Source organism: Homo sapiens, chromosome Y, assembly GCF_000001405.40.
Source record: "Homo sapiens chromosome Y, GRCh38.p14 Primary Assembly".
Lineage (NCBI taxonomy): Eukaryota > Metazoa > Chordata > Mammalia > Primates > Hominidae > Homo > Homo sapiens.
The window spans coordinates 2,724,429-2,750,690 of NC_000024.10; the positions used below are offsets into that span (position 1 = coordinate 2,724,429).

General features: G+C 45.4%; 1 protein-coding gene across 7 annotated transcripts in view; it reads left to right on the forward strand.

Annotated features, from left to right (window-relative positions):
• Window positions 1-16,881, forward strand: part of CD99 (CD99 molecule (Xg blood group)) — a 50,015-nt gene extending 33,134 nt beyond the window's left edge. For 3 of the 7 annotated variants that reach the window (NM_002414.5, NM_001321370.2, NM_001122898.3), the window contains 3 exons: window positions 1,832-1,945; window positions 13,772-13,828; window positions 16,351-16,881. In NM_002414.5, the coding sequence (NP_002405.1) occupies window positions 1,832-1,945; window positions 13,772-13,828; window positions 16,351-16,376 (197 nt within the window). In that variant the 3' untranslated portion in view covers window positions 16,377-16,881. Of the gene's footprint in view, window positions 1-1,831; window positions 1,946-8,928; window positions 12,010-13,771; window positions 13,829-16,350 lie in introns of those variants that run through there. The other 4 variants (NM_001321368.2, NM_001321369.2, NR_135623.2 and 1 more) reach the window with 3 other exon arrangements.

Genomic DNA, 26,262 nt, shown 5'->3' on the forward strand with positions numbered 1-26,262 from the left:
CTGGAGAAGGGTCCTCTGAAGCTCACATCTGGCATTTGGAATGAATAATCTCTTCAATGGCCAGGCACGCTGGCTCATGCCTGTCATCCCAGAACTCTGGGAGGCTGAGGCGGGAGGATTGCTTGAGGCCAAGAGTTCGAAACCAGCCTGGCCAACATGGTGAAACCCCTTTTCTACAAAAAATACAAAAATTAGGCCAGGTGTGGTGGCTCACACCTGTAATCCTAGCACTTCGGGAGGCCAAGGTGGGTGGATCACTTGAGGTCAGGAGTTCGAGACCAGCCTGGCCAAGATGGTGAAACCCCATCTCTACAAAAAATACAAAAATTAGCTGGGCGTGTGCCATGCACCTGTAGTCCTAGCTACTCGGGAGGCACAAGAATTGCTTGAACCCGGGAAGCAGAGGCTGCAGTGAGCTGAAATCGTGCCACTGCACTCCAGCCTGGGTGACAAAGTAAGACTGCATTTCAAAAAAAAAAAAAAACTAGCCAGGGGTGGTGGCACACACCTGTAATCCCAGCTACTTGGGAGGCTGAGGCAGGAGAATAGCTTGAACCCGGGACGCAGAGGTTGCAGTGAGCCGAGATCGCACCACTGCACTCCAGCCTGGGCAACAGAGCAAGACTCTGTCTCCCCGCCAAAAAAAAAAGAATTATTGCTGGAATAACATAAAAAAAAAAAAAAAGGCTGAGTGTGGTGGCTCATGCGTGTAATCCCAGCATTTTGGGAGGCCTAGGCAGCAGGCAGGTTGCTTTAGGCTGGGAGTTCGAGATCAGACTGGGCAACATAGCAAGACCCCAATTCTATAAAACCACAGTAATTAACCAGGCATGGTGGTGCACACCTGTAGTCCCAGCTACTCGGAAGGCTGAAGTGGGAGGATCTCATGAGCCCAGGAGTTTGAGATTGCAGTGAGCTGTGATTACATCATTGCACTCCAGCCTGTTTGACAGAGCAAGAACCCATCTCAAAATAATACACAATAATAATAATTAATTAAATAGAGATAGATTTAAAATGTCTGCATTGAAACCCAAAGCTATCTTCAAGGGGTGAAAAAGGAGCATTCTAACGATACAAAACGCATTGGCAAATGCCCCAAGCATTGCAGGTCTTTGCTTCTTTATCTTCTGCCCCTGCCTGGGCTCCTTCCTCCAGGTTTGATGTCCAGCTCTCTCTTTCTTTTTTGTTTTGTTTTGTTTTGAGATGGTGAATTGCTCTGTCGCCCAGGCTGGAGTGCAGCGGCACAATCTCGGCTCACTGCAACCTCTGCCTCCCAGGTTCAAGCGATTCTCTGGACTCAGCCTCCTGAGTAGCTGGGATTAAAGGCACCCACCCTTACTCCCGGCTAATTTTTGTATTTTTCGTAGAGACGGGTTTTACCATGTTGACCAGGCTGGTCTCAAACTCCTGACCTCAGGCGATTCACCTGCCTCGGCCTCCCAAAGTGCTGGGATTACAGGCGTGAGCCACCACGCCCAGCCCCAGCTCTCTTTCCATCTGTCTTTGTCTTTTTTTGTCTCTGCCTTGGTTCTGCTGAGCTTCTGCCCGTACCTCGCTGGCCTCTCTTCATGTCTCTTTTCTCCTGCTCCACTCCCTCCATGGTCTGACCAGGTCTGCCCAGCACGTGCGATGGGAGATTGTGCCTTGCTTTGCCTTCCTGTGTATCATTCTCGGCATGCTTCCTTTGCAAATCGGTCAGCTCAGGCGTCTGAGATGTTCTGAGGATCTTGGTGCTCTCAGACTGACTGTCTCTGCCAGCCACTGCCCCCTGGGATCTTCTCTGCACCGTGCGTGTCTCAATCACGATGCTGTGTGCTTCCTCCTGCAGCCGACGCCCCAGGCGTGATCCCCGGGATTGTGGGGGCTGTCGTGGTCGCCGTGGCTGGAGCCATCTCTAGCTTCATTGCTTACCAGAAAAAGAAGCTATGCTTCAAAGAAAATGGTAAGTCTCAGTCCGCCGGTGCCTCTCCTTCATGCCTTGCTGATTGGAAAACTGTGCTTTCTTTAAAAGGCAGAAACCAAACTCGGGCTGGCACGAAACAGGTGCACGATGGCTGATGGTTCGTGAAACTGCTAAAATTCTGGAATCGAACCTTCTGGCTTTGATTTCAGGGCTGTTCTGCCTTGTGTTTTGTTGTGTGAAAGTTTACAAGTTCCCCACTGCTGCAGTGCTTGGGTTGTTTACGTCTACCAAGTGGGAAATGGTTGGTACATATGCCGCGGAATTGTTGCTGGGGTTAGAGACAGTCCTGCAGGAAAGCCGCTACAAGTTACCCTGCAGAGAGCAAAGGTGGAAGACACTTAGCTCTGATCATTCCTGCCCTGTTATTTACAACCGATGTCATCATCAGGAGGAGAGCCGTGACCAGGGGGCCGCCACGGTCCTTTCTCCACTGAGAGTTAAGTTAAAAGCCGGCACAAGGCCGGACATGGTGGCTCACACCTGTAATCCCAGCACTTTGGGAGGCCGAGACGGGCGGATCACGAGGTCAGGAGGAGATCGAGACCATCCTGGGTAACATGGTGAAACCCCGTCTCTACTAAAAATACAAAAAATTAGCCGGGCATGGTGGCGGGCGTCTGTAGTCCCAGCTACTCGGAAGGCTGAGGCAGGAGAATGGTGTGAACCTGGGAGGCAGAGCTTGCAGTGAGCTGAGATCATGTGACTGCACTCCAGCCTGGGCGACAGAGTGAGACTCCGTCTCAAAAAACAAAACAAAACAAAAACCAGCACAGCGGATTCCCTTTCTGTTAGTACCGAAAACCCACAGGCACCCAGGACCTGGGAAGTTTCTTGGATCGGGACTAAAATTTACAGGGGAATTAGGAGGAGGACGTACTCACCATTGCAATCCTCCTAGGTCAGCTGGCAGGCTCTTTGGGACCTTGTATTGGGATCCGCCGTGAAGCTGGGAAGTAAGCCCTGCTATTTGGAACACAGCTAACGTGCATGCATCACTGGGCACTTACATTTAGCTCTTGCCTTCCCTCTTGCATGACCAAGCATTGTGGTTTGCAGGAATCCCATCGACCGGGAACAGCTACTCTTATTTTTTATTTCTTGAGACAGAGTTTCGCTCTGTTGCCCAGGCTGGAGTGCAGTGGCGCAATCTCAGCTCACTGCAGTCTCCACCCCACAGGTTCAAGTGATTCTCCTGCCTCAGCCTCCTGAGTAGCTGGGATTATAGGCACCCGCCACCACGCCCGGCTAATTTCTGTATTTTTAGTAGAGATGGGGTCTCACCATGTTGGCCAGGCTGGTCTCCAACTCCTCACCTCAAGTGATCCACCCGCCTCGGCCTCCCAAAGTCTTGGGATTACAGGCGTGAGGCACCACACCTGGCCAACAGCTACTGTTTTATGGAGGAGCCCCTGGGGTCCCTCACGCCTCTGGGTGTCTGAACTTCTCACCCTACTTAGATCTTAAGTCCTTATTCATTCTTGGTCACTGATGTCATTCACTCAAAGCACTGCCTCCTGAAGATTTTAGAGGGATTCCTAGAACATTTGAATAGATGCTGGTGTGGACAAAGTTAGACTGTAGGGGTGGAGTTTCCCCGTAATCTCCCATCATTCCAGCATTTGACATCCACAAACATTATTTAGAGCGTGAAATGGAGAGTCCTAAACAGCTTTCGGATCTCAAGACTTTAAATGAGCTGCTCGTGTTTATTTCCCCGTTCTTGCTGTGGGGTTTTGGGCAGTGCGTGGAAGACAGTTGCCTCCTACCTGGTGGGCAGACGAGTGGGAAATGGTGTTTGGTTGTTTCTTTTTTTTTTTTTTTTTTTTTTGAGATGGAGTCTCACTCTGTCACCCAGGCTGGAATGCAATGGCTCCATCTTGGCTCACTGCAACCTCCACCTCCCGGGTTCTCCTGCCTCAGCCTCCCGAGTAGCTGGGATTACAGATGTGCACCACCACGCACAGCTAATTTTTGTTTTTTTAGTAGAGATGGAGTTTCGTCATGTTGGTCAGGCTGGTCTCGAACTCCTGACCTTGGATGATCCGCCTGCCTTGACCTCCCAAAGTGTTGGGATTGCAGGCGTGAGCCACCGTGCCCAGCTGGTGTTTGGTTGATTGAATGGCAGTTTTGAGCGGGACCCAAATGGACAGATGACCACATTCAAGGAGATGCCTGTAAGAGACGTACGATTAGAATCACGTTGGAAAAAAGCAAACAGCATAACATTCTTCTCCCCTCTTGCTTCTTCTAGAAGTAGCGGAGGGGTTAAAACAGTAGGGACTCAATGGAAGGGAATTTTTGTTTGCTTTTCAATGACATTTCTTTTTCTTTTCTGAAACTGTTCAACTCACAGCATAATATTCAACCAGGAGGTAAGGAAGGCTTGTTTGCCAGGACAGGATGCGTAATATTCTAGATGTTGTATTTCAAACTCTCTGGCTTTTTTTTTTTTTTTTTTTTGAGACGGAGTCTCGCTCTATCGCCCAGAATGGAGGGCAGTGGTGCAATCTTGGCTCACTGCAACCTCGCGGGTTCAAGCAATTCTCCTGCCTCAGCCTCCGAAGTAACTGGAATTACAGGTGTGCATCACCACACCCGGCTAATTTTTGTATTTTTAGTAGAGATGGGGGTTCACCATGTTGGACACACTGGTCTCGAACTCGTGACCTCAGGTGGTTCCCCCCCGCAATCTTGGCCTCCCAAAGTGTTGGGATTATAGGCGTGAGTCAAAGCACCCGGCCTCTTTTTTAGAATCCCAGACAATTGTTGAACACTTTTGCATTAAACTACAAAGTCTCTGATTGATGATTCTCTGAAAATCTTTAGGTCAACCCAAATTGGATTCATGAGTTGCAAAGGATGTTTATTACCTTGTGCGTGCAGACGTAGGAACTTTTGGGATCTTGTAAGCCTATTTCATATTCACATCCTGTATTAGTCCGTTTTCACACTGCTATGAAGAACTGCCTAAGACTGGATAATTCATGAAGGAAAGAGGATTCATTGATTCACAGTTCAGCATGGCTGGGGAGGCCTCAGGAAACTTAACAATCATGGCAGAAGGGGACGCAAGGCACCATCCCATTATCACGAGAACAGCATGGGGGAACCTTCGCTATGGTTCAGTGACCCCAACCTGGTCTCTCCCTGGACACATGGGGATTATGGGAATTACAATTTAAGATGAGATTTGGGTGGGGACACAGAGGCTCACCATATCACATCTGAAGACACACAAACTTGGGAAAGCACCCAGGAGGCTTAATAGACTTGATTTTGTCAAAAATTTTGAAATAGAATTGGGAAAAGGAAAAACAACTTTTCCTCTACCTTATCCGCCCCGCCACCCCTGGGTCTTGGTCTTGGGTGGAAGCATTATCTTTTTTTATTGCAGGAGGTGGGGCAGGCATGAACAATGAAAGCTCTCACTGGGTAGAAACAATTTTCCTAGATTCTTCAAGAACAAAAGCAAATATGTCCTGGCGAGGTGGCCGACACCTGTAATCCCAGTGCTTTGGGAGTCCAAGGAAAGAGGATTGCTTGAGCCCAGGAGTTCAAGATCAGCCTGGGCAACATAGTGAAACCTCATCTCTACAAAAAATGTAAAAAATTAGCTGGGCGTGCTTGCGCCTGCCTGTGGTCCCAACTACTCTGGAGGCCGAGGTGTGAGGATTGCTTGAGCCCAGGAATTGGAGGCTGCAGTAAGCCATGATTGCACCACTGCACTCCAGCCTGGACGACAGACAGAGACCCTGTCTCTAGATATAAAAATAAAAATACCTTTTTTTTTTTTTTTGAGACGGAGTCTCACTCTGTCACCCAGGCTGGAGTGCAATGGCGTGATCTCGGCTCACTGCAGCCTCTGCCTCCCGGGTTCAAGCGACTCTCCTGCCTCAGCTTCCCGAGCAGCTGGGACTACAGGCGCGTGCCACCACGTCCAGCTAATTTTTCATATTTTTAGTAGAGACGGAGTTTTGCCGTGTTAGCCAGGATGGTCTTGATCTCCTGACCTCATGATCCACCTGCCTTGGCCTCCCAAAGTGCTAGAATTACAGGCATGAGCCACCGTGCCCGGCCCCCAAAATAATTTTTTTTAAAAAAGCATCCTTTCTGAAGAATTGGCTCAGGGGAGTCCAAGATTCACTTTATACTAATGAGATGCTAGGCTAATTTTCTTCTAATATTTTCTATAAGTCTCTTATTCTGATGCCAAATTAACAGAAGGTCCAACTTTCAATTCCTGGTTTGCTTTCTAGTTATCCTGGGATTGATTTTCTTGGCCTTTTGTAAATGCACAAAGCAAAGGGCCAAAAAGAAAATAAAATAAAGTATAACAAAGAGAAGCAAGAGATGGTGAAACCCCGTCTCTACTAAAAATACAAGAATTAGCTGTGCGTGATGGTGGGCACCTGTAATATCCCAGCTACTTGGGAGGCTGAGGCAGGGAATTGCTTGAACCCGGGAGGCAGAGGTTGCAGTGAGCCAAGATTGTGCCACCACACTCCAGCCTGGACAACAGAGTGAGACTCTGTCTCAAAAAAAAAAAAAAAAAAAGAGAAAGAAAACAAAAACAAGGCACTCTTCTATAAATACCAAGACCCTACCTCAAAAGAGGACCTTTCCAACTGCATCCACTCACAGCTTGGTTTTTATACCTGAATTATAAAATGAGTTTAATATTTATCTCAGTGACATGATTTTGTTAGTAGACATGGAATTGTGATGTTGGATCGAGTTATCCGGAAGACGAAAGATGTCAGAGCCCTCAGCCTCTGGGGCAGGATTTTGCTTTATGGGTTCGATTTCCGGGATGGTGATTTTGAGATCTGGCAACCCCATAGGTTCATGGGGAGCTTGGAGATTTCATAAGAAGGATGTGAGTATAGCATGCCCTGGTCCTTCAAGAAACCATGGGCCAGGCGCGGTGGCTTACGCCTGTAATCCCAGCACTTTGGGAGGCCAAGGCGGGTGGATCACCTGAGGTCAGGAGTTTGAGACCAGCCTGGCCAACATGGTGAAACCCTGGCTCTACTAAAAATACAAAAATTAGCCAGGCATGGTGGTGCACACATGTATTTCCAGGTACTCGGGAGGCTGAGGCAGGAGAATCGCTTGAACCCAGGAGGCAGAGTTGCAGTGAGCCGAGATCGAGCCACTGCACTCCAGCCTGGGGACAAGAGCGAGACTTTGTCTCAAAAAAGAAAAAAGAAAAGAAAAACCATGCCCAGTTTTGGGGATACTGTTATTCTACCAGACAGGCTCATTTTCCGGGACTGTGTCATTGCATTGAAATCTGTGGTGTTTGTTAAATTTGTATTAAAATGAGTCCCAGGCGAGTGAGTAGACATAGGTGAGTCTTCGGCATCTTTCCAACAAGGAGATGCCTTTATCAAATCCTGTGACTTGATATAGATTTACTGAGAAGCTTTGCAGTGTTATATTTTGGGGTTCACGGATTAGAAACTCCTTGTGGAATCAGATGGCTCTGTCTGTTATAGGTTGGTGCAAAAATAACTGCGGTTTATGCCATTAAAAGTAATAGCAACATAGCAAGACCTCGTGTCTACAAAAAACGTAAAAAAAAAAAAATTAGCTGAGTGTGGTGGCTCCCAGCTAATTTTTTACCTTTTTTTGTAGAGACAGAGTCTTGCTATGTTGCCATTACTTTTAATGGCAAAAACCACAATTACTTTTGCACCAGCCTCCGTTCCTCCCTTCCTACAGATTTGAGTTTGTGGTGCTTGGGCTTCTCCTGGTTTTTGTCCATGTGATACGAAGGGGCCTGTTGAAGCTGCTTCTCTCATGCACTCGGGGTCTGTGACTTCGCATCTGGGTGTGTTGGCTTCGCGGGGGACCTGGCTCAGACCACTAACCACACGGAGCCTGACCACTTCCCACAGAGCCCAGCTTCCGTGGCTGGCAAGGGGTGTTCAGGATGCTGTCCTTTGGCTGTGGTGGCTGGTCCTACTGCTCTGTTTGCCAGGGTCCTGGGCTCACAGTGGGTTTCTTGAGGCTTTGGCAAGATGGGCGATTGGCTCTCCCTGTCTCCTTCTTTCTCTTTCTTCTTCTCTGCCTTTCTTCCTTCCCTCCTCCTTTCTTTCCCCCTCCCTCCTTCTTTTCTCTCTTCCTTCCCTGCTTTTCTCTTTCTTCCTTTGCCCTCAGTTCTCCCTCTCTCTCTCTTTTCATTCTTTCTTGAACTCTCCCTCTTTCTTCCTCCCTCCCTCCCTTCTTCTTTTCCTCCTTTTCCTTTTTCTCTCTTCCTTTTCTCTATCTCTTCCTTTCTTCCTTCTCTTTTCTTCTTATGTACCTCTTTCTTTTTTCTCTCTTCTTTCCTTCCTTCCTTTCTTTCCATCCCTCCCTCCTTCTTTCCTTTTCCCCTCTCCATCCCTTCCTCCTTTCCTTCCTTCCTTTCTTTTTTTCCTCTCTATTCTTTGTCTCTCTTCATCCATCTCTCCTGTTCTTACATGCCTCTTTTCTTCCTTCCTTCTTTCTTCTCTCCCTCCTTCCCTTCTTTCCTTCCTTCCTTCCCTTCCTCCTTCCCTCTCTCCTTCCCTTCCTCCCTCCCTCCCTCATTTCCTTCCTCCCTGCTTCACTTCTTCCTCCCTCCCTTCCTCCATACCTCCCTGCTTCCTTTTTTCCAACCTCCTTCCCTCCTCGTTCCTTCCCTCTTTCTGCCTTCCTCCCTTCCTTCCTCCCATCCCTTCTTCCTGCTTCCCTCCTGCTCTCCCTGTTCCCTGCCTCCCTCCCTGCCTTCCTCTGTCTCTCCCTTCCTCCACTCCTTAATTTTGGTTTCCACTTCCCACTCTCACACTTTGAGCCTCTATCCCATTACTTCCTTGCTCAGAGCAGCTCTTTCTAACACCTCCCTGCTGCTGGGAGCCCCAGCGCACAGCAAAAGCAGACCCAGCACCAGTTTACTTTTTGTATTATTATTTTTTATCGTTTTCAACCTTCCATTTCAGATGGCTGAAGACCTAGGGGTGAGCAGAGAACCCAGCCCAGGCCTGCGGAGCGTCCTGACCGTAATCGTTTTATCTGCTAAGACATAGCCTTAAAGCAAACCCTTCCATCTGCCGCTCCCCTCGCCCTGCTGGCAAATTCCCACCACGATGGGATTCTCAATCACATGGCGGATTCTCTGCCTTCAGTTCCATATGCTTTTGCCTTTCTGGATGCACAGAAGCTCATTATAGCAAATCATATTTCTGCATAAGAGCTTCAGAAAATGAAGAGAAATGCAGATATTTTCTTTTAAACATGAATCTAACAGAAACAGGGCAGTGACTTCCATGTTTTAATGAGTTTTGTCCCTAAGTCCATCCCTGCCAAGGGAACAAACTGGGGCCCAGGGTGGCCACCCTCTTCCCTGCAGTGTCCTAGGTTAAGCTCACTCACGTCCTAAGGATTTGACCTTCCAGGTCATGCATGGATTTTTAAATCTTCAACGTTTTTGGCCGTTGACTTGCATTTCTCACTGCACTTCCTATGAAGCAGTTCTTAACTCTTTCTGTGATCAGTGTTCCAAACAGGTACACACCTTGGTTCCTAGAAAAACAAAATTCATACGTTGAGGAATCACCTAAACATCTCCTGATCTTCACACTGTAAGGCGTGTTGGGAATTGGTGGGTGGTCAGGTCCCTATTCACACATTTGAGCACGGAGCCTCTGCGGCCGTCTTCCTTGGATTCTCTCATATCCCTGAAAAACACAAATTGTACCTGGATTTTCCTTCTGTTTCCAAAGTCCACCAACTTGTTCTTCAATGTAATTGATTTTAACTTGTTTTCTTTCTTTTACTTTTCTTATTTTTTTCTTTCTTTTCATTTTTTTCTTATTTCTTTTCCTTCTATTTATTTTACTTTTCTTATTTGTTATATGTTATTTCTTTTTCTTTTCTTACTTTTCTTCTTTTTTCATTTTTCTTTTTTAAATTGGAGTCTCACTCTGTTGCCCAGGCTGGAGTGCAGTGGTGCAATCTTGGCTCACTGCAGCCTCCACCTCCTGGGTTCAAGCGATTCTCCTGCCTCAGCCTCCCGAGTAGCTGGGACTACAGGCACACACCACCACACCCAGCTAATTTTTGTATTTTTAGTAGAGACGGGGTTTCTCCATGTTGGCCAGGCTGATCTCGAACTTCTGACTTCAGGTGATCTGCCTGCCTCAACCTTCCAAAGTGCTGGGATTACAGGTGTGAGCCACTGTGCCTGGCCCTTTTTCTTTTTTCTTTTTTTTTTTCTCTTATTTCTTTTTTCTTATTTGTTTTCCTTTTTGCTTTTTCTTTTTATCTTATTTCTTTTACTTATTTTTCTTTTTTTTACTTTTATTTCTTCTCCGTTTTTCCTCATTCTTTTCCTCTTATTTCTTTGACTTTTCTGATTTCTTTTTTTTTCTTATTTTCCTTTTTTTTTCATATTCCTTTTAATTTTTTCTTACTTCTTTTACTTTTCTTATTTGCCCTCTTGTGGAAATGAGGCACAGCCTCCCTTATGGTTGAGCCGTAGTTCTAGCTGAGCACGGATGGTTTGATCCTCCTGTGTTGGGGCACTGTATGGTGTGAGGGCACAAAACCTTGACCCACATGGGTCTGGTCACCTTCTCACAGAGGTCACCTTTACAGCCCCCCAACTCTTTGAAGGATGTGTCCCAAGGTGTCTCAAGTCTGATGCAATGAAAGCTGCCCCCCATTGACCACAGGACTGAGTCCAGAATGTCCTGCGTGTTTCCCAGAGTGTCTGTCCTAACACCGCTTAAAGATTAGCCACTGCTAGACAGTGATCCTCAGGTATATGGTCTCAGGATTGGCCCCAAGCACACGGTGTGTGTGTGTGTATAAATATATCTTCACAAAGCATAGGTACCCATTAAAGCCATATTGCTTTGCTGAATGGTTCTAATAGCTACAGATGATTTCTAGCCTGAAAGAAAAGCACCACGAATTGTTTGAAGTTGACTTGTCAGATGTGGCATGCTTGGTCTAAGTTTTGACAGGAAGGGTATGTGGGTAGGGGTGTACGGAGCATCTCATGAGACCAGTTCTCCTCCTGAGAGGTCCGTGATGTTGGAACTGTTGCCCCAGATGGACTTTGCCCTTGTGAGACTTTATACTTTTCAATGCAGTTTTTCCCTCTTTAAAACTCGCCAGCTTTTATGTAGTGTTTTATAAAATTACAGGAATAAAAAGAATATCTTTTATGCTTTTTAACCAATGAGGGGAGAGGGAGAAATTATTTGTCCTCTGAAATGAATGCAGGTTTTCAATTTCTAGCCAGGACAGTTTGCTGCAAAATGCACCCGTGTTGACAACTTGTGACTGGCAGAACAAATGACATTTGTGGTGAACATTTTCGGATCATTTCGAATGTTCTTCTCTTCAGGGGGTTTTCCTCTCTTTTTCTTAAATCAAAGAATTTGGCCCTTTATGTGGGAGTCATTTAGTGGTTAGGGAGAACAGTTGAAACTGTGGAGTTCACGTAGCGTAAACTGGCGAGGCTGTCTCTGCTGCTGTCATTAAAAGTTACGCTGCTGGCTTGGCACGGTGGTTCACACCTGTAATCCCAGCATTTTGGGAGGCCGAGGTGGGCAGATCACGAAGTCAGGAGATCGAGACCATCCTGGCTAACATGGTGAAACCCCGTCTCTACTAAAAATACAAAAAATTAGCTGGGCATGGTGGCGGGCGCCTGTAGTCCCAGCTACTCGGGAGGCTGAGGCAAGAGAATGGCGTGAACCCTGGAGGCGGAGGTTGCAGTGAGCCGAGATCGCGCCACTGCGTTCCAGCCTGGGCGACAGAGCAAGACTCTGTCTCAAAAAAAAAAAAAAAAGAAAAGAAAAAGAAAAGTTACGCTGCTGCACCATACAAACGTGTTCCTTTATGAAGGCATTTGAACCACAGATGGGGCCGTTTTACAAATAGCACGGTCTTTGTGAGGGGGAAACGCATGGCCACAGATTCGATGAGCTTCTGCTGCTTCCCTTTGTGTTGAAAACGTGGGTGTTCCTTCACACCAACACTGGAAATAAATAAATACCTATTGATCTGTGCATCTCTTACGCGTTTCCAATTCTGTTGGCTTATGCTGTGGGTCAGAAAAGAAGCGACACCGACAACATTTGGGGACTTGACCCTGTTTGCATTGCGGCATGTTTGAAACATTTTTTAATGGAAATTTGGGAATAGAGGGCCGGGCGTGGTGGCTCAGGCCTGTAATCCCAGTACTTTGAGAGGCCGAGGTGGGCGGATCACAAGGTCAGGAGATCAAGACCATCCTGGCTAACACGGTGGAACCCCATCTCTACTAAAAATACAAAAAATTAGCCAGGCGTGGTGGTGCATGCCTGAAATCCCAGCTACTCAGGAGGCTGAGGCAGGAGAATTGCTTGAACCCGGGAGGCGGAGGTTGCAGTGAGCTGATATCGCGCCACTGCACTCCAGCCTGGGCGACAGAGCGAGACTCTGTCTCAAAGAAATAATAATAATAATAAATAAATAAATAAATAAATAAATTTGGGAATGGAAACAAGACTGGGAAAAAATGCTGGAGGAGGAAGAAAACCGGGTACACAAGACGCCTTGGCTGTCTTGTCCTTTGATGGCTGGGGAAGCTCTTAGTGCTCGGAGTCCTCACTCACCTCTCTGCATTCTGAGGGAGGTAGAAGGGGGGACAGGAGAGCCAATTCAACCTGAGAAGGATGATTGGTGGAGGTGGGTAAAGGAAGAAAGTCCCCTTTCCCTAGGTACTGAAAAGATGCTAATCTGCTGAGATTCTCTGTATTTATTTTTATTTATTTTAATTTTTATTTTGAGACAGTCTTGCTCTGTCACCCACGCTGGAGTGCAGTGCCACGATCTCAGCTCACTGCAACCTCCACCTCTTGGGTTCAAATGATTCTCCTGTCTCAGCCTCCCAAGTAGCGGGGACTACAGGTGCACGCCACCACGCCCAGCTAATTTTTGTATTTTTAATAGAGACGGGGTTTCACCATGTTGGCCAGGATGGGCTCGATCTCTTGACCTCGTGATCCGCCCGCCTGGCCTCCCAAAGTGGTGGGATTACAGGTGTGAGCCACCATGCCCAGCCTCTGCATTTATTTTTATTTATTTATTTTTATTTTTATTTTGAGACAGTCTTGCCCTGTCACCCAGGCTGGAGTGCAATAGTGTGATCTCGGCTCACTGCAACCTCCACCTCCTGGGTTCAAACGATCCTCCTGCCTCAGCCTCCCGAGTAGCTGGGAGTATAGGTGCACGCCACCACGCCCAGTTAACTTTTGTATTTTTTAGTAGAGACGGGGTTTCACCATGTTGGCCAGGCTGGTCTCGAACTCCTGACCTCAAGTGATCCACCTGCCTCAGCCTCCCAAAGTGCTGGGATTACAGGCGTGAGTCACCACGCCCAGCCGTCTGCATTTGTTTGATGAGTTTGGGGGCAGTTATAAATAAGAATCTTATTTTCACAGATGCACGTACTTTTTTTTTTTTTATAGAAAGAGCTTCCATGTGCGTGTTCCTCAGTGTTTAGGGAGAAGAAAGCAACCCTTAAAATAGAGGAAAATGAAGCTGCTTGGATTACCCTGTTGAAGTTCATCTCTGCCTGTGCCATGCATGAAAAAATACTGGCAAAGTCTTCACTTACATGAGTGTTAGACTCCATGTTCCCAGTGGGTCTCGGGGTTCAGAACTGAGTGCTCTCATCCAAGCAATAGGAGCGTCGACCTCAGGAAAGCCCAAGTGTTTTGTGTGTATTTTGAGGAGTGGGTTATCTGTTGCACTGAGCCTCTCTGTGTATTTTCTTCTTCTTTTCAGCAGAACAAGGGGAGGTGGACATGGAGAGCCACCGGAATGCCAACGCAGAGCCAGCTGGTAAGAAGGACGGGGAACGATGGCTTGCACACGTGGCCAGTGTTCCCATTTTATCTTCTCCATCCTCTCCCATCTTGCTGTCCTGCTCACATTCTCAAATTTGGTTGCATGGCTTTGAATGTCTTCCTTTATGTCTCGTTGCTTTGGAGGGATACTTTCAAAAGACAATGAATGTGTAAACTTCCTAGGGCCTGGGCCTTCAGAGAAGACCTATATGTGCCTAAGTCTCTGTTTAACAAAATATTAAGGAAGTTTTCCCAGGAGTTCGAGACCAGCCTGGCCAACATGGTGAAACCCTGTCTGTACTAAAAATACAAAATTAGCTGAGTGTGGTGGTGGGCGCCTGTAATCCCAGCTACTTGGGAGGCTGAGGCAAGAGAACTGCTTGAACCTGGGAGGTAGAGGTTGCAGTGAGCCGAGATCGTGCCATTGCACTCCAGCCTGGGCGACACAGTGAGACATGTTTCAAAAAAAAAAAAAGTTCCAAGTGGCACACGATTGGTGCATAGTTGGGAAGTCCACAGCTGGCTGGTGTGCACTGGGAATTAAAAGCCCATCTCCTGAAATATAACTCGTTAAGTTTTGCTGTCAACTTTTTTTTTGTTGTTAGAGATAGGGTCTCACTCTGTCGCCCAGGCTGGAGTGCAGTGGCACGATCATAACTTACTGCAGCCTCGATCTCCTGGGCTCAAGGGATCCTCCCACCTCAGCCTCCTGATAAGCTGGAACCACAGGCGTGCACCACCGTGTCCGGCTGATTTGTTGTTGTTTTTTTTTTATTTTGTAGAGACAAGGTCTCACTAGGTTGCCCAGACAGGGTCTCACTATGTTGCCCATCCTGAGCTCAAGCAACCCTCCGACCTCAGCTTCCCAGAGTGCTGGGGTTCTAGGCGTGAACTACCGCACCCAGCCTGCTATCACCTTCTAAAAATCCTCTCAACCAGGTGGAAAATGTGGTTAAGAAGAGACTTTAATTCGTGAGAAACTTCTCAGGGTAAAAGGCAGGCATTTTGCCATCAGAACCACTTTTGAAAATGGCAAGAAAAAAATGTGTGTGTGTATATGTGCGTGTATTTTTTTATTTTGTTTGTGCATACATTGGAACCTTCTCATTTGCCTGAGAGATGCAGTGCTTATTTTTAATAGCAGCTGTCAAATTGAGAGGGATTTTTAATGAAATGATTTAAAATATTTTAATTTTTTTTCTTTTTGAGATGGAGTGTCTCTCTGTCACCCAGGCTGGAGTGCAGTGGTGCGACCTCTGCTCACTGCAACCCCTGCCTCCCAGTGTCAAGTGATTCTCCTTCCTCAGCCTTCTGAGTAGCTGAGACCACAGGCACCCGCCATCATGCCCCACTAATTTTCTTTCTGTTTTTACTAGAGACGGGGCTTTCGCCATGTTGGCCAGAGTGGTCTCGAACTCCTGACCTCAAGTGATCTGCCCACCTTGGCCTCCCAAAGTGCTAGGATTACAGGCATGAGCCACCGTGCCTGGCATTCCATTTTAAAGATAGAGACTTCTACAAAGTTAGTGTCTCGCCAGACGCGGTGGCTAATGCCTGTAGTCCCAGCACTTTGGGAGGCTGAGGTGGGCGGATCACCTGAGGTTGGGAGTTCGAGACCAGCCTGACCAACATGGAGAAACCACGTCTCTACTAAAAATTAAAAAAAAAAAAAAAAAAAAAATTAGCCAGGCATCGTGGCGCATGCCTGTAATTCCAGCTACTCAGAAGGCTGAGGCAGGAGAATCGCTTGAACCCGGGAGGCGGAGGTTGTGGTGAGCCAAGATTGCGCCATTGCACTCCAGCCTGGGCAACAAGAGCAAAACTCTGTCTCAAAAATAATAATAATAATAATAAAAGAAAGTTAGTGTCTTGTTGACTGCTCTTTCGAGTCAGGGAAAGATGTTTAGAACAAGCTATATCTTAAAGAGAAAAGGAAGATTCCTTCTGCCCACTGCAATGAAGTTGTCTGGCTTCATTAGCCAGTACATTGGTATATGTGTGTGGAGCCCTCGTGACTTGAAGGGCGTGGCATTCCAGTGTTTTCTGCCACCATTGTTCTTAATTCCTTCTTCCAAATCCCAGCTTCTCCCTCCAAAATAGTTTTAAGACTGACATGCAGAATAAAGTTTCCAAAACTTAAATGAATGGACCAGAAAATCTCAGCCCAGCATCATTGCAAATCAATAAAAACTGCACACTCTCATTTAGAAGATTTATTCTTCCATTTGGTAAGTTATAGGCATTTGTTAGTGTCTCTGTGACGTCGTTAGTGGAAATTGCCTTCTGCTGTTTTCCTTCTGCTTTTTCTGCAGCATCCATTTTTTTTAATGAATGGCATCATTCAATGAAATTGATTGAATTGATTGAGATTTAGGGTTTTGCTTTCTCGTGATGAGTTTTGGGCCCATTTTTCTTATGCAGAAATAAAACCACTGGCTCCTGAAAGTTGTAGGAACTGTGTCCACGTGAGTGCTCAGGGACCTGGGAATGACTTTCTTTTGTCTCTGTCTCCCACAGTTCAGCGTACTCTTTTAGAGAAATAGAAGATTGTCGGCAGAAACAGCCCAGGCGTTGGCAGCAGGGTTAGAACAGCTGCCTGAGGCTCCTCCCTGAAGGACACCTGCCTGAGAGCAGAGATGGAGGCCTTCTGTTCACGGCGGATTCTTTGTTTTAATCTTGCGATGTGCTTTGCTTGTTGCTGGGCGGATGATGTTTACTAACGATGAATTTTACATCCAAAGGGGGATAGGCACTTGGACCCCCATTCTCCAAGGCCCGGGGGGGCGGTTTCCCATGGGATGTGAAAGGCTGGCCATTATTAAGTCCCTGTAACTCAAATGTCAACCCCACCGAGGCACCCCCCCGTCCCCCAGAATCTTGGCTGTTTACAAATCACGTGTCCATCGAGCACGTCTGAAACCCCTGGTAGCCCCGACTTCTTTTTAATTAAAATAAGGTAAGCCCTTCAATTTGTTTCTTCAATATTTCTTTCATTTGTAGGGATATTTGTTTTTCATATCAGACTAATAAAAAGAAATTAGAAACCAAGTACTTTTTTTTTTTTACTTAAATATTTTGCCGTGGGTGGATGTTAAAGAAGGCCGTGGTAATTTACAGGATGGGTTCCAAGTTCTCTTCTTCTGGGGCTTTAAGGCAGATTTCCAGCCTAAATGCTAGCTCTTTATTTCCAAAATGTCCTTGTTGGGCTCTTTTCCTTTCCCGTGTCCTGCCACATCGGGATGGGTACTCTTCTGCACCCAGATACTCCCAGCCAGATACTCTCCTCCATCCAGATACTCTGTTTCCAGATACTCTCCCTGCAGCTAGTTATCCCCTTGAGTCCAGATGCTGCCTGCTTCCAGATACTCCTCTGTATCCAGATACTCCTCTAAATCCAGGTACTCCCTACATCCAGATACTGTACTTCCTAAGATGTACAAGATGTACCGCATTTTCCCAACACTGAAGACTTGACCACAGCTTAAGTGGGTTGGTTAAATACATTATGGCCCAGATTGCAATGGATCTTCTGCCTTGTTAAAAAGAATGAATGAGTCAAGGGTCTTTTTGTTTACTGACACTGCCTAGCATGTATTGAAGCTCAGTAAACACTTGCAGAATAAATCACAGAAAAGCCTCTCTCCTTAAGAAGTTAAGAGATTGGCTCTGATACCAACAACTACCATACTATTCCAAATACTATTATTTCAAAAATTTATAAAGTATTTTATTCTATGTTCTATTAGCCATTAAGTAACTTTTTTTTTTTTTTTTTTGAGACAGAGTCTTGCTCTGTCACCCAGGCTGGAGTGCAGTGGGGCAATCTTGGCTCACTGCAACCTCCGCCTCCTGGGTTCAAGTGATTCTCCTGCCTCAGCCTCCCAAGTAGCTGGGACTACAGGCGTGCACCACCACACCCGGCTAATTTTTCTATTTTTAGTAGAGCCTGGGTTTCACCATGTTGGCCAGGCTGGTCTCAAACTCCTGACCTCAAGTGATCTGCCTGCCAAGGCCTCCAAAAGTGCTGGGATTACAGGTGTGAGCCACTGTGCCTGGCCCAGCCCTTAAGTAACTTTTTAATCATCATTCCCAAAATCATAGGACTTTCTTTACATAGAAGTTCCAAAATAATGAAACAAAAGACTTGTTTTACCCAGGTATTTAATGATCCAACAAGCCGTATAATTTAAACTCTATTTTTCAAGTAACCCACTTTCAATAAAATCATGTTTATTTTTATGTCCATGAGAAATTAAAATCAGTCATCTACAAAGATGGACATCCACCCTCCACAAAAAAATAAGTCTTGTTGACACATTTCTTGGAAGTATAGATTTATTTATAAGTAAGCCCTAATTTGACATATCTAAAAAAATACCTTTTTTTTTTTTTTTTTTTTTTTTTTTTTTTACTATTCTTCTTTTTACTCTTCTGCTTCTTGTTTAATGAGCCATTTCTGTGGATAGTATGATTACAATGAGCCATTTGTGTGGATGGTATGATTATAATACTTACAAAAATGTCAGTGTTATTCATAGAATGACAACAGATTTAATGCATTTTTTCTTTTTTTTATTCTAAAGTTAGTCAATGTGAAGAATCTGACCTCAAAGACAATTCTTGATAATTCATTGGGGAGGACTAGAAACACCACCCTCTAACTTTATAACGTGTCATTGGTCACTCAGCAAAGCGGCCAGGCATGCTGGTTTATCCAGCTTTCAGCCCTTGAAGATTCACCAGACTAAGGATTAAGTGAAAAAGAATATCTGCCACCTACTTCACTGAGGCGTAAACAGTCCCTATAGATCAATGAGAAAAGGACCCAACACCCGTATAAAAACAAAGGGCAATTCACATGTTTTCCAGAAATGGAACGCAGATGATTTTATGAAGATAGCCCATTTGATGTCGTTTTTCAACTAAGAGATTGGCAATAATCAGAAAGTTTGTAGGGCTCTTAGGAAACAGATCTGAGACATCATGTAAGTCCTGGGCATTTGCGAAACTTCTATGGGGAATGGACTGACAGTGTCCTTAAACAATTAAACATGCACATCCGTGGTCGGCCCCCTCAAGGGTGGAGAGGATGAGGCATTTGTGATGTCTCAATACATCCTGGAGAATCTAGAAGGTCACCTCCACACACCTGCACCACAGGTGGCATCCTATAGGTATTTGCTAAAGGAAGCAATGAAAGGGTAAGATAAATAACCAAGAGGTGCCCGCCACTGTGTTCACCCAATTTTACATACTCCAAGTTATCACTAGTGTCAAAATCAGAAGAAATAACTCCAATGCCAGAAAAAGCCAGCTGGCTGTGCCCTTCAATATCCTGAGAATGATGGGATGTGAAAAGGTGTCGAATCCTCAACAGCAGGGAGACTGCTTGGATGACTCCCACCCAGAACTGAAATTGAAGGCGGAGTTTCTGAGCTTAGAAAGGGGAAAGACCCAGCATTTATGACTGACTCCTTCATCCAACCTCTTTCCCCAAATCAGACGATTTTTGACATGGGTATGGTAACACCATACGTTTGCATAGAGAGATTCATGGGAAGCCTAGCTGCTGTGACGTGCAGCAGTCAGTTTTTAACACCATCATCAGTGGCGAAATGAAACATTCCCTTGAAATCGCCTTTCTCTGGATGACTATTTAAACAGCTTCACGTTAGCCTGCCTGTGCGACTGAGGACGTACTGATGATATCCTCATTTTCCGGTGGAGGAAAGTTTATGACGTCAATCCCATTCCGAATATCAGGACTTTAAATCTCTATGATGTTAGCACAAAATGCAAGTGGAGCCCTCTCCAAGCTTTCATAGAGCCATGTATTTTGGAAGCCTTAATGGGGAGACAGTTCTCAATGTGGAAAAGTTGTCATGTATCGCAGAGAAGAGAACAGACCACCATGCCCAGCTAATATTTGTATTTTTAGTAGAGACGGGGTTTCAACATGTTGGCCAGGATGGTCTCGATCTGTTGACCTCGTGATCTGCTCACCTCGACCTACCAAAATGCTGGGATTTCAGGCGTGAGCCACCGCGCTGGGCCCAATACATCTCTTTTCTTAGTTGACTTCTTTTGTATCTCTTCATAGCCTTTTCATATTTTTATATTGATTTGTATCTTTCATTTTTTATATATTTAAACTACCTACTTATGTTAATTCTGTGCCATGGTAACTTCCTTAATTCATGATTCATATGGGCATACATACAGTCATGGATACAACAGGCTTTCGTATATAAAATTATGAAAAAGTTTATTCTTTTAACATTTTGTGGGGATACAACAGGTTTTCATATATAAATCATGAAAAAATGCATCTATTCTTCTAACACTTTGTGAGGATACAACAGGTTTTCATATATAAAATTATGAAAAAAAATTCTTCTAACACCTTTGTGGGGATACAAAAGGTTTTCATATATAAAATCATGAAAAAGGCCGAGTGCGGTGGCTCACGCCTGTAATCCCAGCACTTTGGGAGGCCGAGGCGGCTGGATCAAGAGGTCAGGAGATCGAGACCATCCTGGCCAACATGGTGAAACCCTGTCTCTACTAAAAATACAAAAAATTAGCTGGGCGTGGTGGCACGCACTTGTAATCCCAGCTACTCGGGAGGCTGAGGCAGGAGAATTGCTTGAACCCGGGAGGTGGAGGTTGCAGTGAGCCAAGATCGCGCCACTGCACTCCAGCCTGGCCACAGAGCAAGAGTCCATCTAAAAAAAAAAAAAAAAATCGTGAAAAAAAGTATCTATTCTTCTAACACTTTTGTGAGGGTTACAACAGGTTTTCATCTATAAAATAATGAAAAAATGTATTCCTTTCTTAAGAACATTTGTCAGGAATGGGTATTAAATTCAATCAAGTGTTTTCTTGGGATGCATCATGCTGACTATGGTTTTCTACTTTGACCTGTTAATATGGTGAATTAAATATAATGACATATCATCGATCATCCTTCAATCCAATCTTATTTGGTGTTACACTTTAGTTTTGTTATTTTCTTTAGGATTATTGTGTCAATATTCAAAAGTCAAATTCATGTGTGTTATATGTTTGCATGTAATATATTTCAATATTGTGCTTTCTTCATACATACATTTTGGTAGATTTTCTTCTTTCTCTTGTGGAAAATCTGATTGGCTAAAGTTTTCTGGGCATGGGCTGTGTGTGTGTGTGTGTGTGTGTGTTTTAGAGGGGGCAAAGGGTTTTTGTTTCTTTCTGTTGGAGAGAGATTTATTTATTTAGAGATGGAGTCTCACTCTGTTGCCCAGGCTGGAGTCCAGTGGTGCAATCTTGGCTCACTGCAACCTCCACCTCCCAAGTTCAAGCAATTCTCCTGCCTCAGCCTCCCGAGTAGCTGGGATTACAGGCATATACAAGCACGCTCAGCTAATTTTTGTATTTTTAGTAGAGATGGGGTTTCACCATGTTGGCCAGGCTGGCTCAAACTCCTGACTTCAAGTGATCTGCCTTCCTCGGCCTCCCAAAGTGCTGGGATGACAGGCATGAGTCACTGTACCCGGCTGGGAAATGAATTTTTAAAAAAAAAACTTTATGTATTTCTACTTCTTCATTGGAAAGTCATTCGTATTTACTTAAGTTTTCAAATATCACAGTGCAGATTAGAACAAAGTAGTTGTTTATAATTCTTCCGCATCCTCCAAGTGTATGGAGAAGCTCGCATTCTTCTTGTTTTGTGCTGTCATTATTTTAGTTTGTTATCTTCGTCTACTTTAGTTTTCTCAGATAATGTTTAAATTATTTGGCAAATCATTTCTCAATTTTCAATGCATTAATTTCCTCCACCTGCTTTTCTGGAGTTTCATGTGATACCCACTCTCCCCACACAGGATGACTTCTCGAGTTGAATGTTCATTCCATTTATTTTCATTCTTTCTTGCTTAATGTTGTAAACAGGCGAGGTTCTAACTTTTCATCTGTGTACTACAAGCTCTCAAGTTCTTTCATGGGGAGTTTGTATCATGGTCATTTTCTAGTATTTAGCATTTTCAGCTTTTGTTTCCTGTCAACTCAACATTAAAAGTTTTTTAAAACGTCCGGGTGATATTGTTGCTTTGTTTGCTTTCCTGGTTTCATTATCCATTTTCAATTTTGCTGCTGTGAATTTGCACCGTCTCCTTGGGGAGTGATTTGGCTGTATATTAGTCAGCGTTCTCTAGAGGGACATAACTAATGGAATATATATATACACACAAAGGGGAGTTTATTAAATATTAACTCACACGATCACAAGGTCCCACAATAGGCCATCTGCAGGCTGAGGAGCAAGGAGAGCCAGTCCCAGTCCCAAAACTGAAGAACTTGGAGTCCAGTGTTTGAGGGCAGGAAGCATCCAGCACGGGACAGAGATGTAGGCTGGGAGGGTAGGCCAGTCTCTCTTTTTGCATTTTTTTGCCTGCTTTATATTCTAGCCTTGATGGCAGCTGATTAGATTATGCCCACCCAGATTAAGGGCGGGGGGCCTGCCTTTCCCAGCCCACTGACTCACATGGTAATCTCCTTCGGCAACACCCTCACAGACACACCCAGGATCAATACTTTGTGTCAATCAATCCAATCAGGTTAACAGTCAGTATGAACCATCACAGGCAGTGTCTACAAGCAATGAAACATGCACACACCTTTCTACCTAATTCCTGCCCATTCCTGACCAACGCTCCTAAGAAAGGAATAGATTTGATTTTTTTCTTGATTTTATATCTTAAAAACCTGTTGTATCCATGTCTGTATGTGTGCCAGGGTGAATCACAAAGTCAGGAAGTTAGTGTGACGCAGAATAAGGATATCTTTATTCTTTTATTTTTTATTACTTTTTATTTTGTTTTTGAGACAGAGTCTTACTCTGTCCCCCAGGCTGGAGTGCGGTGGCCTGATCTAAGCTCACTACAACCTCCACCTCTCCGGTTCAAGTGATTCTCCTGCCTCAGCCTCCCAAGTAGCTGGGATTACAGGCACATGCCACCACACCCGGCTAATTTTTGTATTTGTAGTAGAAATGTGGTTTCACCATGTTGGCCAGGCTGGTCTCAAACTCCTGACCTCAGGTGATCCATCCGCCTCGGCCTCCTAAAGTGCTGGGATCGCAGGTGTGAGCCATCATGCGTGGCCTAGAATATTCTTATTTCCAATTTTACAGCAACAGAATGTCTTCTGTCTTGTTTCTACTTTAAAAAAACAGTTTGCTAAAGCTTTCTTTGTAGTGCAGTTGTGAATTTTCAGGAGCATCCCATGAACATTGAAAAGGAGATGCATTCACGCTTTTTAAGGTTATCGAGGATGTGAAAATTAAAGTCGGCTTTGTAAATTCTGCCATGTCTGTGAGCTCCCAGCATTTGATCAGCTGAGGCTTCGAGCGGTGAAGTAGAGTGCTTTTCCCCTAACGTGCTCTGATCTGGAGCCTGCGTGTATTACCGCTGGGCACACGGCCTGCCCTGACCATACTTTAGTGAAGCAGAGGTGATAAAACTGGGTTTCCCAGGACTCCTGCAACACACAGCTTTGATGTCGGCAAACTAGAACCCGGGAGCCAAATCTGCCCACGGTGTGTTTTTGTACAGCTTTCGAGGTAAGAATTTTTTTGTATTATTGTCGTTATCGTTGTTTTGAGATGGCGTCTTACTCCGTCGCCCAGGCTGGAGTCCAGTGGCATGATCTCGGCTCACTGCAACCTCCGCCCCTGGGTTCAAGCGATTCTCCTGCCTCAGCCACCTGAGCAGCTGGGACTACAGGCATGCACCACTACGCCCGGCTACTTTTTGTATTTTCAGTAGAGACAGGGTTTCACCATGTTGGCCAGGTTGGTCTCGAACTCCTGGCCTCAAGTGATCTGCCTGCCTCTGGCTCTCAAAGTCCTGGGATTACAGACATGAGCCACGGTGCCCAGCCAAGAATGGTTTTTACATGTCTGAATAATTTTCAAAACTCCAAAGAACAATAATATTTTGTGATGCATGAAAATTATGTGACACTCAAGTTTTTATGTTCATAAAGTCCACTTGGCGCACAGACATTGGTTACATATTGCAGCAGAATCCATATGGTTTGCAAAGATAAATGCCTTTACTATCTGACCTTCTGCAGAAAAGCTTGTCTACTCTTGCCTCAAGAAGCATGTAAAATACTTACAACACTGGCACGTTAGGCATGCTGGAAATCGTAGCAATTATTTTGCACCTTCACTACATCTGAGAGGATTTCCTGAACTTAACCATTTAACCTAACTCCTCACTACCTTTTGGGAAACATTTTTTTTATTAAGGTGAAATTCACAAATCATAGAATTAACCTTTTTTTTTTTTTTGACCCGGAGTCTCTGTCACCCAGGCTGGCGTGATCTCATCTCACTGCAACCTCTGCTTACCGGGTTCAGGCAATTCTCGTGCCTCAGCCTGCCAAGTAGTTGGGATTACAGGCAGTCACCACCACATCTGGCTAATTTTTGTATTTTTAGTAGAGATGGGTTGCATCATGTTGGCCAGGCTGGTCTTGAACTCCTGACCTTAGGTGATCCACCCGCCTCAGCCTCCCAAAGTGCTGGGATGACAGGAGAATTCACCATTTTAAAGTGAACAATTCAGGTTGCTTGCTGCTTTCACAGTGTTTTGTGGCCACCACTTCTACCTAGTTCCAAGATATTTTCACTGCCCCCAAAAGAAATCCCATTAGCAGCTGTTTTTTATATTGGCTTCCTGGGGCTGTCATAAAAACATGCTTCAAACTAGGTAGGGGGCTTAAAAAACAGACAGTTAAGCTGTCACAGTTCTGGAGCATAGAGGTCTGAAATCAAGGAGCAAACAGGGTGGATTCCTCCCTCCGTCCCTCCTTCCCTCCCTCCCTCCCTCCCTCCCTCCCTCCCTCCCTCCCTCCCTTCCTGCCTTCCCTCCTTCCTTCCTTTCTCTTTCTTCCTTTCCTTACCTTTCCCCTTTCCCTCCCTCCCTCCCTCCCTTCCTTCCTTCCTTCCCTCCTTCCTTCCTTCCTTCCTTCCTTTCCTCCTCCTCCTTCTTCTTTCTTTCTTTCTTCCTTTCTTTCTTCTTTCTCTTTCTTCTCTCTCTCTCGCTCTCTCTCTCTTTCTGAGTCTCACTCTGTTTCTGTTGCCCAGTCTGTAGTGCGGTGGCACAATCTTGGCTCACTGCAACCTCTGCCTCCCGGGTTCAAGCAATTCTCCTGCCTCAGCTTCCCAAGTAGCTGGGATTACAGGCGCGCACCATCGTGCCTAGTTAATTTTTGTATTTTTAGTAGAAACGGGATTTCACCATGTTGGCCAGGCTGGTCTCGAACTACTAATCTCCAGTGATCCGCTCACCTCAGCCACCCAAAGTGCTGGGATTACAGACGTGAGCCACCGGGCCCAGCCAGCAGGGCTGATTTCTTCTGATGCTGTGAGGTAGAATGGATTCCATGCCCCTCCCATTGCGTCCAGTGGTTTGCTGCCAATATCCCTTGGCTTGTAGGTGCATCACCCCAATCTCCCACTTCATGTTCCCAAGGCCTTCTCCCTGTGTGCATGTCAGTGTCCAGATTTCTCTCTTCTTTTAAAATACCAATCATATTGCAGTATGACCTCATCTTAACTAATGATTAGGTTGGTGCAAAAGTAATTGCAGTTTTCACCTTCAAAAGTAATGGCGAGGAGCTGGGCACGCTACCTCACGCCTGTAATCTCAGCACTTCGAGAGGCCGAGGTGGGCGGATCACAAGGTCAGGAGTTCGAGACCAGCCTGGCCAACATGGTGAAACCCCGTCTCTACTAAAAATGCAAAAATTAACCAGGTGTGGTGGTGCATGCCTGTAATTCCAGCTACTCAGGAGGCTGAGGCAGAAGAATCACTTGAGCTCAGGAGGCAGAAGTTGCAGTGAGCTGACATCACGCCACTGCATTCCAGCCTGGGTGACAGAGCAAGCCTGTGTCTCAAAAAAAAAAAAAAAATTAATGGTGAAAACTGCAATTACTTTTGCACCAAAGTAATACATCTGCAAAGATCTTATCTCCAAAGAAAGTCACATTCTGAAGTACTGAAGGGTTGGGCTTCAATATATGAAGTTTGCGGGAGAAAAAATGCAACTCATAATATATCCATTCCCACGTCTTTCCAGCCCCTGGCAACCGGCAATGTGCTTTCTGTCTCTGCAGATTTGCCTGTTCTGGACATTTCAGAGAAATGGAATCCTACACAATGCGTTCTTCTGTGTCTGTTTTCTCTAACTCAGCATCCAGTTTTTGACGTCCATCCACTTTGTAGCAGATGTCACGGTGTCAGTCCTCTTTAGGGTCAGGGGACTTTGAAGGAAATATCTTTCTAAATGCATCAACTGCTTCCTGGACTCTGCCACTCAGAGCTTAGGACTGCACAAGCTAACTGCCTTAGAGCATTTCCCCCATATGCACACACACACACA